This window comes from Homo sapiens, chromosome 2 (genome assembly GCF_000001405.40).
Source record: "Homo sapiens chromosome 2, GRCh38.p14 Primary Assembly".
Taxonomy (NCBI): domain Eukaryota; kingdom Metazoa; phylum Chordata; class Mammalia; order Primates; family Hominidae; genus Homo; species Homo sapiens.
In genome coordinates, this window is record NC_000002.12 from 111866257 (window position 1) to 111879439 (window position 13183).

General features: G+C 37.4%; 1 protein-coding gene across 9 annotated transcripts in view; it reads right to left on the reverse strand.

Annotated features, from left to right (window-relative positions):
• The window catches only part of ANAPC1 (anaphase promoting complex subunit 1), a 117963-nt gene that overhangs the window by 100026 nt on the left and 4754 nt on the right, over window positions 1-13183 (reverse strand). For 8 of the 9 annotated variants that reach the window (XM_017004711.2, XM_017004710.3, NM_022662.4 and 5 more), the window contains exons 3-7: window positions 12554-12715; window positions 7357-7408; window positions 7052-7152; window positions 6374-6456; window positions 1767-1840 (exon numbers count right to left, since the gene is read on the reverse strand). In XM_017004711.2, coding sequence (XP_016860200.1) covers window positions 1767-1840; window positions 6374-6456; window positions 7052-7152; window positions 7357-7408; window positions 12554-12715 — 472 coding nt within the window. The remainder of the gene's footprint in view (window positions 1-1766; window positions 1841-6373; window positions 6457-7051; window positions 7153-7356; window positions 7409-12553; window positions 12716-13183) is intronic. The other variant, XM_017004713.2, reaches the window with a different exon arrangement.

Consider the following 13183-nt stretch of genomic DNA (forward strand, 5'->3'; position numbering starts at 1 on the left):
GGGACATTTGTGAAGCGAGTGTCTTCAATGCCTATGTGCTTCCCAAGCTGTATGTGAAGCTAAATTACTGTGTGAGATGTGCAATTCACAGAAAAGTCGTCAGGAATCCACCTTGTAAAGCCCACAAGGACCAAACACACCCACCAAAGCCCATGTAAGGAGCTGAGTCCTTCAACACTGAAGACAAGGCCAGGCGTGGTGGCTCATGTCTGTAATCCTAGCACTTTGGGAGGCCGAGGTGGGTGGATTGCCTGAGCTCAGGAGTTCGAGATCAGCCTGGGCAACAGGGTGAAACCCCATCTCTACTAAAATACAAAAAATTAGCTGGGCGTGATGGCACACCCCTAATCCCAGCTACTAGGGAGGCTGAGACAGGAGAATCGCTTGAACCTGGGAGGCAGAGGCTGCAGTGAGCCGAGATCGTGCCATTGCACTGCAGCCTGGGTAACAAAGCGAGACTCCGTCTCAAAAAAAAAAAAAATGAAAATAAAACGACTAAAAACAGACTATTCTCCAGAGAAAAAATAAAATGGAAATTGTACTTAAAAAAAAAAAAAAAAAAGGCTGCGTGCCATTTAATCCCAGGCTCTAGTATGTTTATTCGGGTTGTCTGCAATTAGTAACAACATAAAATTTGAACTTTTTCTGTAAAAGATCAAAGACTAAATAGGGCAGTTTGCTGTCCACATACTGACTCTATCACATAATCTTTGTTATTTCCTACAACCCTTTAAAAGGTAAAAACCATTCTTATGTTGGGTGCGGTGGCTCACGATGTAATCCCAGCACTTTGGGAGGCCGAGGTGGGTGGATCACCTGAGGTCAGGAGTTCAAGACCAGCCTGACCAACATGGTGAAACTACGTCTCTACTAAAAATACAAAATTAGCTGAGTGTGGTGGCACATGCCTGTAATCCCAGCTACTTGGGAGGCTGAAGCAAGATAATCGCTTGAACCCAGGAGGCGGAGGTTGCAGTGAGCCGAGATCGCACCATTGTATTCTGGCCTGGGCAACAAGAGCAAAACTCTGTCTTAAAAAAGAAAGAAAAAAAAAAACCATTCTTAGCTCACAAGCTTTACAAAAACATGCTGCAGGCCAGATTTAGCCCATGGCCTACAGTTTGCCAAGACATAATACAGAAGATAAAAAGCAGCTAGGCACGGTGGCTCACCCCTGTAATCTCAGAACTTTGGGAGGCCGAGGTGGGTGGATCACCTGAAGTCAGGAGTTCGATACCAGCCTGGCTAACATGATGAAACCCCATCTCCACCAAAAATATAAAAAATTAGCCAGGCATGGTGGCGTGTGCCTGTAATCCCAGCTACTCGGGAGGCTGAGGCAGGATAATCACTTGAACTCGGGAGGCAGAGGTTACAGTGAACTGAGATCACACCACTGCACTCCAGCCTGGGCCACAGAGCAAGACCCCTCTCAAAAAAAAAAAAAACCCAAAACAACAACAAAAAATAAACTTTACTTCATCTAAGTATCATTCATTTACTTATTAATTATTAAAGAACAAAGCATCTACAGGTAGGTTAATAAATATATCGGTATTCCTCACTGATTTATATGCCTTATTTTTACTAAAATAACTGTTGAGCAGTTAATACCATGATATTCAAGAAAGTCAAAATAGAAGTTATTTTTGTAAAATGTTTACATTATTTTTATAAGTCAGTTTTCATATAAGCGCCTTTATAACCTCCCTCACCAAAGTCAAAAAAAAAAGAGCTTATCTAAAAGAATATAGAAATACACTTACTTCCAGATTTACAAACAAGTGGAGTTATTTCATCTAGTGGGTGCAGCATGCTGAACATAGTAGGTAAAGGTTCTCTAGCAATAAACAAATAATCAATTAATTACCAATACGAGTATGTCTGTGCACAAATTTTGCACTTCTATTGAAAAGAAATCTCCAGATTACATGAGCAACTAGAAACCTACTATCTCAAAATGCAATCTTCTAAACTTTGTACATACTATTTTTCACATTGTCTTCTATTTCATTCCTAGAAATCTCTCCCCTTAGAGTAATTCTATCAATGCACGAACAGAGGGAAATCAATATAGCCAGGGAATTTCTGCAAACAGCAGTCATCACAGTACAGAACAAATGGAGTAATGTGCATAAAGCGGTCTTTTTTTATTGACCTCTCTTACTGGCAGTGTGTCTTTGGCAGCTAAGAAAGAAATTTATTCTCCCATATCTGCTGACAAAGGAATGCATTTTTTAAAAAAGGAAGAAACAAACTACTTCAAGTAAATTAAGTCTGCTTTTTTTTTCTGAGATGGAGTCTCACTCTGTTGCCCAGGCTAGAGTGCAGGGGCATCATCTCGGCTCACTACAACCTCCACCTCCCACGTTCAAGCGATTCTCCTGTATCAACCTCCCGAGTAGTTGGGATTACAGGCACACGCCACCACGCCCAGCTAGTTTTTTTGTATTTTTAGTAGAGACGGGGTTTCACCATGTTGGCCAGGCTGGTCTTGAACTCCTGACCTCAGGTGATCCACCTGCCTCGGCCTCCCAGAGTGCTGGGATTACAGGCGTGAGCCACCACACCTGGCCAGAAGCCTACATTTTTTAAGGAATTATTTTTTTTAGAGCGAAGACGGGCTTTCTTTCAAAGCATAAAGAGATGAAAATCTATCAGCAATTTCTTTAAGACTTAGCAAGTGCCTACCTCTTGCACCACAACATGCCTGACAGGTGCTGTATGCTGCTGCCCTTCGGTGTGCTCATAATTCATAGGGGGCAAGATAAACACGCCGCTAGTAAACATCTGCCATTTATTGCATACTTAATACCTACTAGGCCCTGTGTCAAAGCTTATATACATTTAGCTACTTTAACTTTGCATAAGTCCTAAGAGGTAAATGATAACATTCCTGTAACGCGTAAGGAAACTATAGCTAAGAAAGCTCTAATGATCTGCTCAAAGCAGCACAATGAGAAAATGGCAGAGCTAAGAACTGAATCTTGTTATTTATTTTTTTTTTGACACGGAGTTTTGCTCATCGCCCAGCTGGAGTGCAGTGATGTGATCTCGGCTCACTGCAACCTCCGTCTCCCAGGTTCAAGTGATTCTCCTGCCTCAGCCTCCCGAGTAGCTGGGATTACAGGCACCTGCCACCACGCTTGGCTAATTTTTTGTATTTTTAGTAGAGACAGGGTTTCGCCACGTTGGGCAGGCTGGTCTCGAACTCCTGACCTCAGGTGATCCACTCGCCTCGGCCTCCCAAAAGTGCTGGGATTACAGACGTGGGCCACCGCGCCCGGCCAAATCTTTTTTGAAGCCATTTATTTGCATATTCAATTTTACCACTTAGATTGGGAAAAAAGGCTAATTAAGTGCCAAGTGCGTAGAGTTCATGAGTGTACATACAGGCTGAGTATCCCTTATCTGAAATACTTGGGACCCTAAGTGTTTTGGATTATTTACCTTACACTAACGGTTGAGCAACCCTAATTCTTTTGGGGGTACAAGTGGCTTTTGGTGACACAGAATTATGTAGTGGTGAATTCTGAGATTTTAGTGCACCTGTCACCTGTGTAGTGTATGTTGTATGCAATATGTAGTTTGTTTATCCCACACCTTCTTCCCACCCTCCTCCTTCTGAGTCTCCAAAGTCCATCATAACACTCTGTATATAGCCTCTGCATACTCCTTGCTTAGCTCTCACTTGGAAGTGAGAACATGCAGTATTTGGTTTTCCATTCCTGGGTTACTTCACTTAGAATCATGGCCTCCAGTTCCATCCAGCTTGCTGCAAAAGACATTATTTCATTTCCTCGTTATGGCTGATTAGTATTCCATGGTGTATATATACATTTTCTTTATTCACTCATTGGTCAATGGGCACTTAGGCTGCTTCCTTATCTTTGCAATTGTGAATTGTGTTGCAATAAACATACATGTGCATGTATCTTTTTCACATAATGACTTTTATTTCCTTTGGGTAGATACCCAGTAATGGGACTGCTAGATTGAATGGTAGACGTACTTTTAGTTCTTTAAGGAATCTCCATACTGTTTTCCATAGATGTCATACTAATTATGTTCCCACCAGCAGTGTATAAGCATTCCCCTTCCACCACATCCATGCCAACATCTATTGTTTTTCTGACTCTTTAATAATGGCCATTCCTTAAAGAGTAAGGTGAGATCTCACTGTGGTTTTAATTTGTGTTTCTCTGATCATTAGTGATATTGAGCAGTTTCATGTTTGTTGGCCATTTGTGTATCTTCTTTTGAGAACTGTCTATTCATGTCCTTTACCCACTTTTTGAGCTTCTGTCTTGCTGATCTGAGTTCCTTATATATTCTGGATACTAGTGCTTTGTTGGATGCATAGTTTGCAAATATTTTCTCCCACTGTGTGAACTATCTGTCTATTCTGACATTTCTTTTGCTGTGCAGAAGCTTTTTATTTTAATTAGGTCCCATTTATTTATTGTTTTTGTTGCATTTGCTTCTGGTGTTTTAGTCATAAATTCCTTGCCTAGGCCAATGTCCAGAAGAGTTTTTCCAAGGTGATCTTCTAGAATTTTTATGGTTTCAGGGCTTAAAGCCTTTCATCCCTCTTGAACTGACTTTTGTATAAGGTGAGAGATAAAAAAAACCCAATTTCATTCTTCTAAAAAAGGTATCAGTTTTCCCAGCACCATTTACTAAATAGGATGCCTTTCCCCCAATTTATGTTTTTGTAAGCTTGTTTGTCAAAGATCAAATACTTGATTACAAGTATTTGGCTTTATTTCTGGTTTCCCTATTCTGTTCCATTGGTCTATGTGCCTACTTTTATACCAGTACCATGCTGTTTTGCTAATTATAACCTTGTAGAATATGTGATGGCTACATACTTGTTCTTTTTGCTTAGGATTGTTTTGGCTATTTTGGGCTCTTTTGGTTCCACATGAATTTTAGAATTGTTTTTTCTAACTCTATAAAAAAAAAGATCTTATTTTGATGAGAATTATGGTGAAATCTATAGATTGCTTTTGGCAGGATGATCATTTTCACAATATGGATTCTTCAAATCCATGATCATGGGATGTGTTACCATTTGTTTGTGTCATCTGTGATTTCTTTCAGCAGTGTTTTGTAGTTCTCCTTATAGAGATGATTCACCTCCTTGGTTAAGCATATTCATAGGTTTTTGTTTTTGGCTCTTTGCTGCTCTTATAAAAGGGATTGAATTTTTGGCCAGGTGCGGTGGCTCATGCCTATAATCCCAGCACTTTGGGAGGCCAAGGTGGGTGGATCACCTGAGGTCGGGAGTTCGAGACCAGCATGACTAACATGGAGAAACCCCATCTCTACTAAAAATACAAAAAATTAGCCAGGCGTGGTGGTGCATGCCTGTAATCCCAGTTACTCAGGAGGCTGAAGCAGGAGAATCGCTTGAACCTGGGAGGCAGAGGTTGTGGTGAGCCGAGATCATGCCACTGCACTCCAGACTGGGCAACAAGAGCAAAACCCCGTCTCAAAAAAAAAGAGACTGCGTTCTTGATTTGATTTTCAGCTTTGTCATTGTTGCTGTATAGCGGTGCTATTGATCTGTGTACATTGATTTTGTAATCTGAGACTTTACTGAATTTATTTATCAAATCTAGGGGTCTTTTGGAGGAGTCTATAGGGTTTTCTAGGTATATAATCATATTATCAGCAAATAGTGATAGTATGACTTCCTCTTTTCAAATCTGGATGTCCTTTATTTCTTTCACTTGCCTGATTGCTCTGGCCAGAACTTCCAGTACTATGCTGAATAGAAATAGTGAAAGTAGGCATCTTAGTCTTCTTCCAGTTCTCAGGGGGAATGCTTTCAACTTTTCCCCATTCAGTATGATGTTGGCTGTGGGTTTGTTGTATATGACTTTTATTAATTTGTGGTAAGTCCCTTCTATGCCTAGTTTGTTTTTATCATCAAGGGATGCTGAATTTTATCCAATGCTTTTTTCTGCATCTATTGAGATGATCATATGGTTTTTAATTGTTTATGTGATGTGTCACATTTATTGACTTGTGTATGTTAAACCATCCCTGCATCCCTGAGACAAAACCCACTTGATCATGACATATCTTTTTGATGACAGCAACCCTAATTTGAGAATCCAAAACCTGAAATGCTCCAATAAGCATTTCCTTTGAGTGTCATGCTGGAGCTCAACAAGTTGCAGATTTTGGAGAATTTCAGATTTTTGGATCAGGGATACTCAACTTGTACTGAGATGAGAGAAAATGGCATATATCTATGCTGTCAACATGAAAATTATCATCATCTCAAACTTTTAGATAAACCTCAGAACCAACACAAACACACAAATCCCAAGCAGTAATATTCTGAAGTGAATAAAATGAATACCTGGGTGAACCTGGAGGTACTTCATGTGAAGAAGCGCTTCGTTCAAACAGCAATCCATATTTAGTGGGCCAAACATTTGCAACCTTTCAGGTAAAAGGGTGGGAAAAGATAGAAGTAAGAGAACCTACCCCTTTATAAAATGTTTTAAAGAAACATTACAGAATGTTTTATTTTCCAATTTAGTAATAGCTTTACAAAGTAACATAATCATTAAATACGGTATTTTCTTAAAAAGTAATACAAATAAGCAACTCTAAGATAAAATCAAATCTAATAAAGAGGAGTTGTTCAATGTGAAATTCCTGCCACTGGCCAGGATCAGTAACAAAATGACAATGTGTTAACAATAGCCCTAGGCATTAAAAAGACGATGAGTAACAAAAAAAGACTGGTGTTATTCATATGCCTTATTTAATATAACCAAAAGTTCTTAGGTATCATTTAAACCAACAAACACATACCACAGAAGACTTCCTAATTTACTTCACTAAATAACTTATTTTCTTGTGAAGTACAGAAAAATGGTAAGCCACTAAAGCTGCCAAAATTTAGTTATTTTGAGTAAAAATAACATTTTTGACTACTACGAAACATGAGACATAAGACATGCCTCTAAAACCAATTAATTCAAAAATGTTCTCCAACAAAACCCCCCCAAAATTTGAAACACTTGTTTACCTGAAATGGTAATGAAGCTATGTAATCCTTTCCTTCTATGCTATGCATGTTAATACATGAGCTTTGCAATATACATATGCATTTTTCTACTTCATTGCTACCTGAAAAGAAAGGGTACAACAAGACTTATGTGTTTTTTCCCTCAAAGGAGTTCAATCCTAACAGCACAAATTATTTAATGCACAATATAAAGATGCTTATGGTAAACCACTATTACTAGTGGCTACTTCATTTGAATGAAAAATACAATGAGATAAATATTTGGAATCATCATAAGAAAAATAAAATTTCAAAAAGAAACTTACTGTAGGCCTTTTCAGACTTATCCTGTGATATAATGAAGTCACACCACAATGCCTAAAATCAAAACAAAATGCTTACCTAAGAAAATTATATCTAAATAATCATCTATTAACTAATGGCATCTAAATAATAATAATAGCATCTACGTAATAACTTTGCCTCCTCAGCTCAACATGTACAATCATGGGAACAAAAAGAATAAGAAAAAATAAATTAGAGTAATAAATGATAAATATGATAAGGAAAGGCAAAATATGTTTACAATTAAATTTTATGAAAAGATCCATAGGAATTAAAATTTTAAATTAAAAAAATAAATTTTACAAAAAGAGAAGACAAGAATCAAAAAATCTACCAGATAGAAACTTTGCAGCAAAAATTCAAATAGTAGCTCAAACCATACTAAACCCTATATCCTCTACAAAACTAAAGATTATTCAAACTTTATAATCTCCAGATTAAACAACTGATCTTAGACTCTCTCTAGACTGACTTTTGAAAAAGTCTTTAGAAAAACTAACTCCTCCCTTTCTTAAAAGCCCATCTTACAAAATATAAACTAGGAAAAGCTATTAAACTTTAACTGACATACCTGGCAATCACTTATTATTTAACAGCATTTTGTGTTTTTTTTTAAACTGTGGTCAAATACACACAATATGAAAATTAACATTTTAACAATTTTTAAGTAGACAATTCAGTAGCATTAACATTAAATTGACGAGCTTAGTACAATTTGTGAGCTTGTACAATACTGCACATTTCCAGAACTTTTTCCTCATCTCAAACAGAAACTCCGTGCCCATTAAACAATACTCCCCATTTCCCAATGCCCTGAGCTCTGGTAACCTCTATTCCACTTTCCCTATGAAAGGGCCTGTGCTAGGTATCTCATGTAAGTGAAACTGTACATTTGTCCTTTTATATCTATTTTATTTCACTTAACATAATGTTTTCAAGGTTCATCCATGTTATGACATGTATCAGAATTTTATCCCTTTTTAAAGCTAAACAATATTCCACTGTTAGCATATACCACATTTGTTTATCCATTCATCTGTCAATGGACATGGGTTGTTTCTACCTTTTGGCTATCATAAATAATGCTGCTGAAAACACTGGTGTACAAGTATCTGTGAATCCCTGTTCTCAATTCAATTGTGCATATACCTAGAACTGGAACTGCTGGATCATAATGGTAATTCTAAGTATAACTTTTCTTTCAAGAGATGGGGTCTCACTCTGTCACCCAAACTGCAATGCAAGGCATGATTCTAGCTCGCAGCAGCCTAGAACTCCTGGGTTCACATGACCCCCCTGCCTCAGTCTCCTGAACAGCTTGGGAGTACAGGCATGCACCACCATGCCTGGCTACACGTGTAACTTTTTGAGAAATCGCCAAACTTTTCCACAGCAGCTATGTTACATTCCCATCAGCAATGCACAGGAGTTCCAATTTCTGGACATCCTCACCAACATTTGTTATGTTTCTTTAATAACAGCCAACCTAGTAAAGTGGTATCTCATTGTGGTTGTAATCTGCATTTGCCTAATGATTAGCGAAGCTGAGCATCTTTTCATGTGCTTACTGACCATGTGTGCATCTTTAGAAAAATGTCCATTTAAGTCCTTCTGCCCAATTTTTTAATTGGGTAGTTTGTTTTATTGTTGAGTTGTGGGAGATTTTAATGGTTAAGAAATGAAAATTCAGGAAGAAAACCATGCATGAGAGCTGTGCTCCAACCTGAAATGTCCAAAATCTACAATGCACCGATTACAGTCTCAACTTCCTTTGATGAAATCCCATCCTCTCAGCCTCTAAAAGTAAATATTTTAACATCTCTTTTATCCCTGATATCTAAGAGATCACTAACCCCTTCCACATCTCCCTCTGCTTTATCACCCCTTCTTTGCCAAGGCACCAATCTTTTACCTGAACAGTCACAAAATAGTGCCCCTGACAACAGTCTCCCTCCTCTCCAGTCAATCCTATATATATATTGCTAACAAAGCAATCTCTTCTCAAAACACAAAATTGATCGCTTCCATTTTAAAATCCTTGGCAGGCTCCCTTCAGCACACAGTTTAAAATCCAAATTCCTTGGTTTATATACAAGGCCCTTTGGTCTGTATACTGCCAGCATCCACTTGCATCTCTCCACACCCACACTTCGTGTACAGCCATTCTGAAGTTTAAAAAGTCATCTTTTTCCATAATTCTTTTTGCTGTGATTTCCTCTGCCTAGAATGCCCTTCTGCCACCATTTTATAACACAAATAGCATCTTCTTTGAAAAACCCTCCCTTTGGCACTCAGTCCTTTGGGCTCTCATCACTCTGTGGACAGGTAGTTATTATACAGCATTCAGAATACAGCATTTCAGGTGATCTGTTTGTTCTCCTTTCTAGGCTATGAGTCCTTCAATGGCAGAAACTACATTCACCTTTGTAGCCCCAGCATAATGGCTGAAACAGAGTGAGACTAAATACTTGCAGAAGACCAGGCACAGTGGCTCACGCCTGTAATCTCAACACTTTAGGAGGCCAAGCCAGGAGGATCACTAGAGCCCAGGGGTTCAAGACCAGCCTGGACAACATAGTGAGACCCCCATCTCTATTAAAAAACAAAAAGAATAAATGAAAAAATAAAAAGAACAACCAAAAAAAAAATACTTGCAGGATAGGTAAAACAATGAACAGATAAAATCTGAGTCACATATACCTGATATTATTTCATAAACAAAATAGAAAATTATCTTTCTCCATATTAGCAAGAAGATTAAGTAACAATATATTTTCCAGATCAAAAGACTGAAATTCCAAATCTTACAATTACACTTACAAGTGATCTTAAGATAAAGGAGATAATATATCTAACTGCACTTCCATAGAATCTAGTAAATAGGCAACTGTTCTTGGAGAAATTAAGATGAAGATATAGAAGCAAAGAACTACTTGGATATCATCAAATGCACTTTTCACATCTATACTAACTATATGAATTATATGGGAAAAAATTTACCATCAAAAAGATCACTGGCTTCAACACTCCAGGACACAAATGCTTTCACATATGCCCTCAAATGTTGGAATAATGATTCAGTTTATCCTTTCCAATAAATAGAATACAGTACTCATCAGGAAATAGTTAACGGTAGGCGGGAGGAGTGGGAGGAAGCAGTATCCAGATACAAAGATTTCAGCATTTACAAAAATGAAACTTAACATTAGTCAAAGCCTCCAAAACCTCGTCAACCCTAATTCAACTACAATAAATGCATTAGTTCTTCCTCCAACTTTTTGTTATAAAAATTTTCAGTAAGAAAAGTTGAAATAATGCAGCAAACATATTTCACCTATATCCAACAATCATGAAAATTTTGCCATATTTGTTTGTGTGTGTGCATTTGTGTACATATGGGATTTTCGGAATGGGAATGCTGACTGTTTAAAAATAAATTGCACACACATCATGACATTTCACCCCTAAATACTTCACCATGCCTTTTCTAAAAATAAAGATGTTCTCCTATAAAACCATAAAATCATCGTCCCTGAGAAAAAAATAATACTTCTCTAACATCAGCTACTGGCCAGTAATTTTCAACTTTCCCAAATTTTCCCCAAAAATATCTTTTTAGCTAGAAAACCAGGACTCAATCAAAGTTCATTTAACAAGGATCAAAAAATACTGCATTTGGTGATGTCTCTTTAGTCTCTTTCAATGTAGAACAGTCCCCACCTTTTTTTCTTTCTCCGTGACTTTTTTAAAGAAACCAGAATGTAGACTATAAACTTTTTATAATGGAAAATTTCAAATAAATACAAAGTAAACAGAATAGGATAATGAATCCCCATCAGCCAGTTTTAATAATTATCAAGCTTGGCTGGGCATGATGGCTCACGCCTGTAATCCCAGCACTTTGGGAGGCCGAGGTGGGTGGGTAGATCACAAGGTCAGGAGATCGAGACCATCCTGGCTAACACAGTGAAACCCCAGCTCTACTAAAAATATAAAAACAAAATTAGCCGGGTGTGGTGGCGGGCAACTGCAGTCCCAGCTACTCGGGAGGGTGAGGCGGGAGAATGGCATGAACCTGGGAGGCAGAGCTTGCAGTGAGCTGAGATCATGCCACTGCACTCCAGCCTGGGTGACAGAGCAAGACTCCATCTCAAAAAACAAATAAATAAATAAACAATAATAATAATAATAAAGCTTTAGCCATTCCTAGCTATCTATTTCCTTATCTCATGGTATTTTAAAATATAATTCTCTATTGCCTATATTTCCTATAAATAGGAAGTTAGGTCTAAATATTCATATTTTTGGGAAGAAAACTTAGATGACATCATGTACTTCATTCTGTATTATAGCTAGAAGCACATAATACTCCTTCATGTCACTACTAATTATGCTAAACTCAATCACTTGATTGAGGTGGAGACTGACAAATAACTCCAAAGTAGAGGTACATTTGTTCCTTCACATTTACCAGGTAATCCACAGGGTGATGTGTTGGTGCCATGGTAATATTCTTTCAACCAACAGTGTTAGTATCCATTTACAATCCTTGTTGGAATCAATTATTGCACTGGAGGTTACAAAATGGTGATATTCTAATTCTACAATTCCTTTTACACTTATTAGCTAGCATTCTTCTCTAAGTACAAGTTTTCCTTCATCAAATGGAGATGAACTGCATGTCTTCCTGAAAAAATATGGCAAATGCTTAATTCTTTCCCTTTCATTATCAACTTTCAGAACAGTTAGTTATAACAGCCAACTGCAATGGCTGCAAAGCAGATTTTTTCCTTTCTCTCTACCATTATGAATCCCACGATTTTTATTTATTCAAATCTTTGCAATCAATTATAGTAATCATGTGTTAAAATATTTCTGTACTCTTCATGTTTTATAGGTTTTTGCTGGCAATAACAAATTGAATTACATAAGGACAGAGTGTTTAAAGATTACCATTAAAGTGACAAAGAAGAGTGTAAAAAAAGTGATGATATAAAAATAAAATTAAATTTTTATTTTCCTGCCATTATCTTCACATTATATTATGTCATGTTACAACGTACACCCAGCTGCTGAGATCATTAGGCTGGTTTTATCATTTCTGTTAAATTTTAAAACAAAACTTTTTTTTAATTGCATTAAATAGTGAATCAAATGCTAAAATTCAAATCAACTCACCTGCTGAACAGGACTGTCAACTGTAAATGCTTTATAAACTGCCAATGCCTGGCTTTTACTTCCTTTGCTCCATATCACCATATTTCCAGCAACATAGAGTTCCTCATCATAGTCCACATCTTCTCCAATTTCACTTACTCCTTTCCTTAACTGCCAGCTTTCCTTAAAAATTAACACATGTAAAACATATTCAAGCACTCTTTTTTTGTTCTTCAAAAATCTGGAACAAAATTTATTTGCCCATGGAGTAAGACTCAATTCAAACACAACTCCTACAAAGTTTGGTACACTGATTAACGGAGGATGTGGATATATGCATTACACTACAGAATTACATGAAGAATTTACTCAATAATTCTCTATATTGAATGTTTTATATTATTCCTCTATATTACTCTGCCAAAAACAAAAACGAACAAAAAGTACACCTTCTCTATAGTTCCAAAAGTCAAATCACATGCTTGGGAGACTAAAAGGACATATTAAGTATATGAGGTAGGGTAGGGAAAGGACAGTGAGGTGCACGTGGGAATCACTTGGGGAGTTCACACACAAATGCAGACTTCCTGCTTCGCAATCACATATATATTCACCTTCTTTTCCTTTGTCCCACCCACCAAAATGAATGGA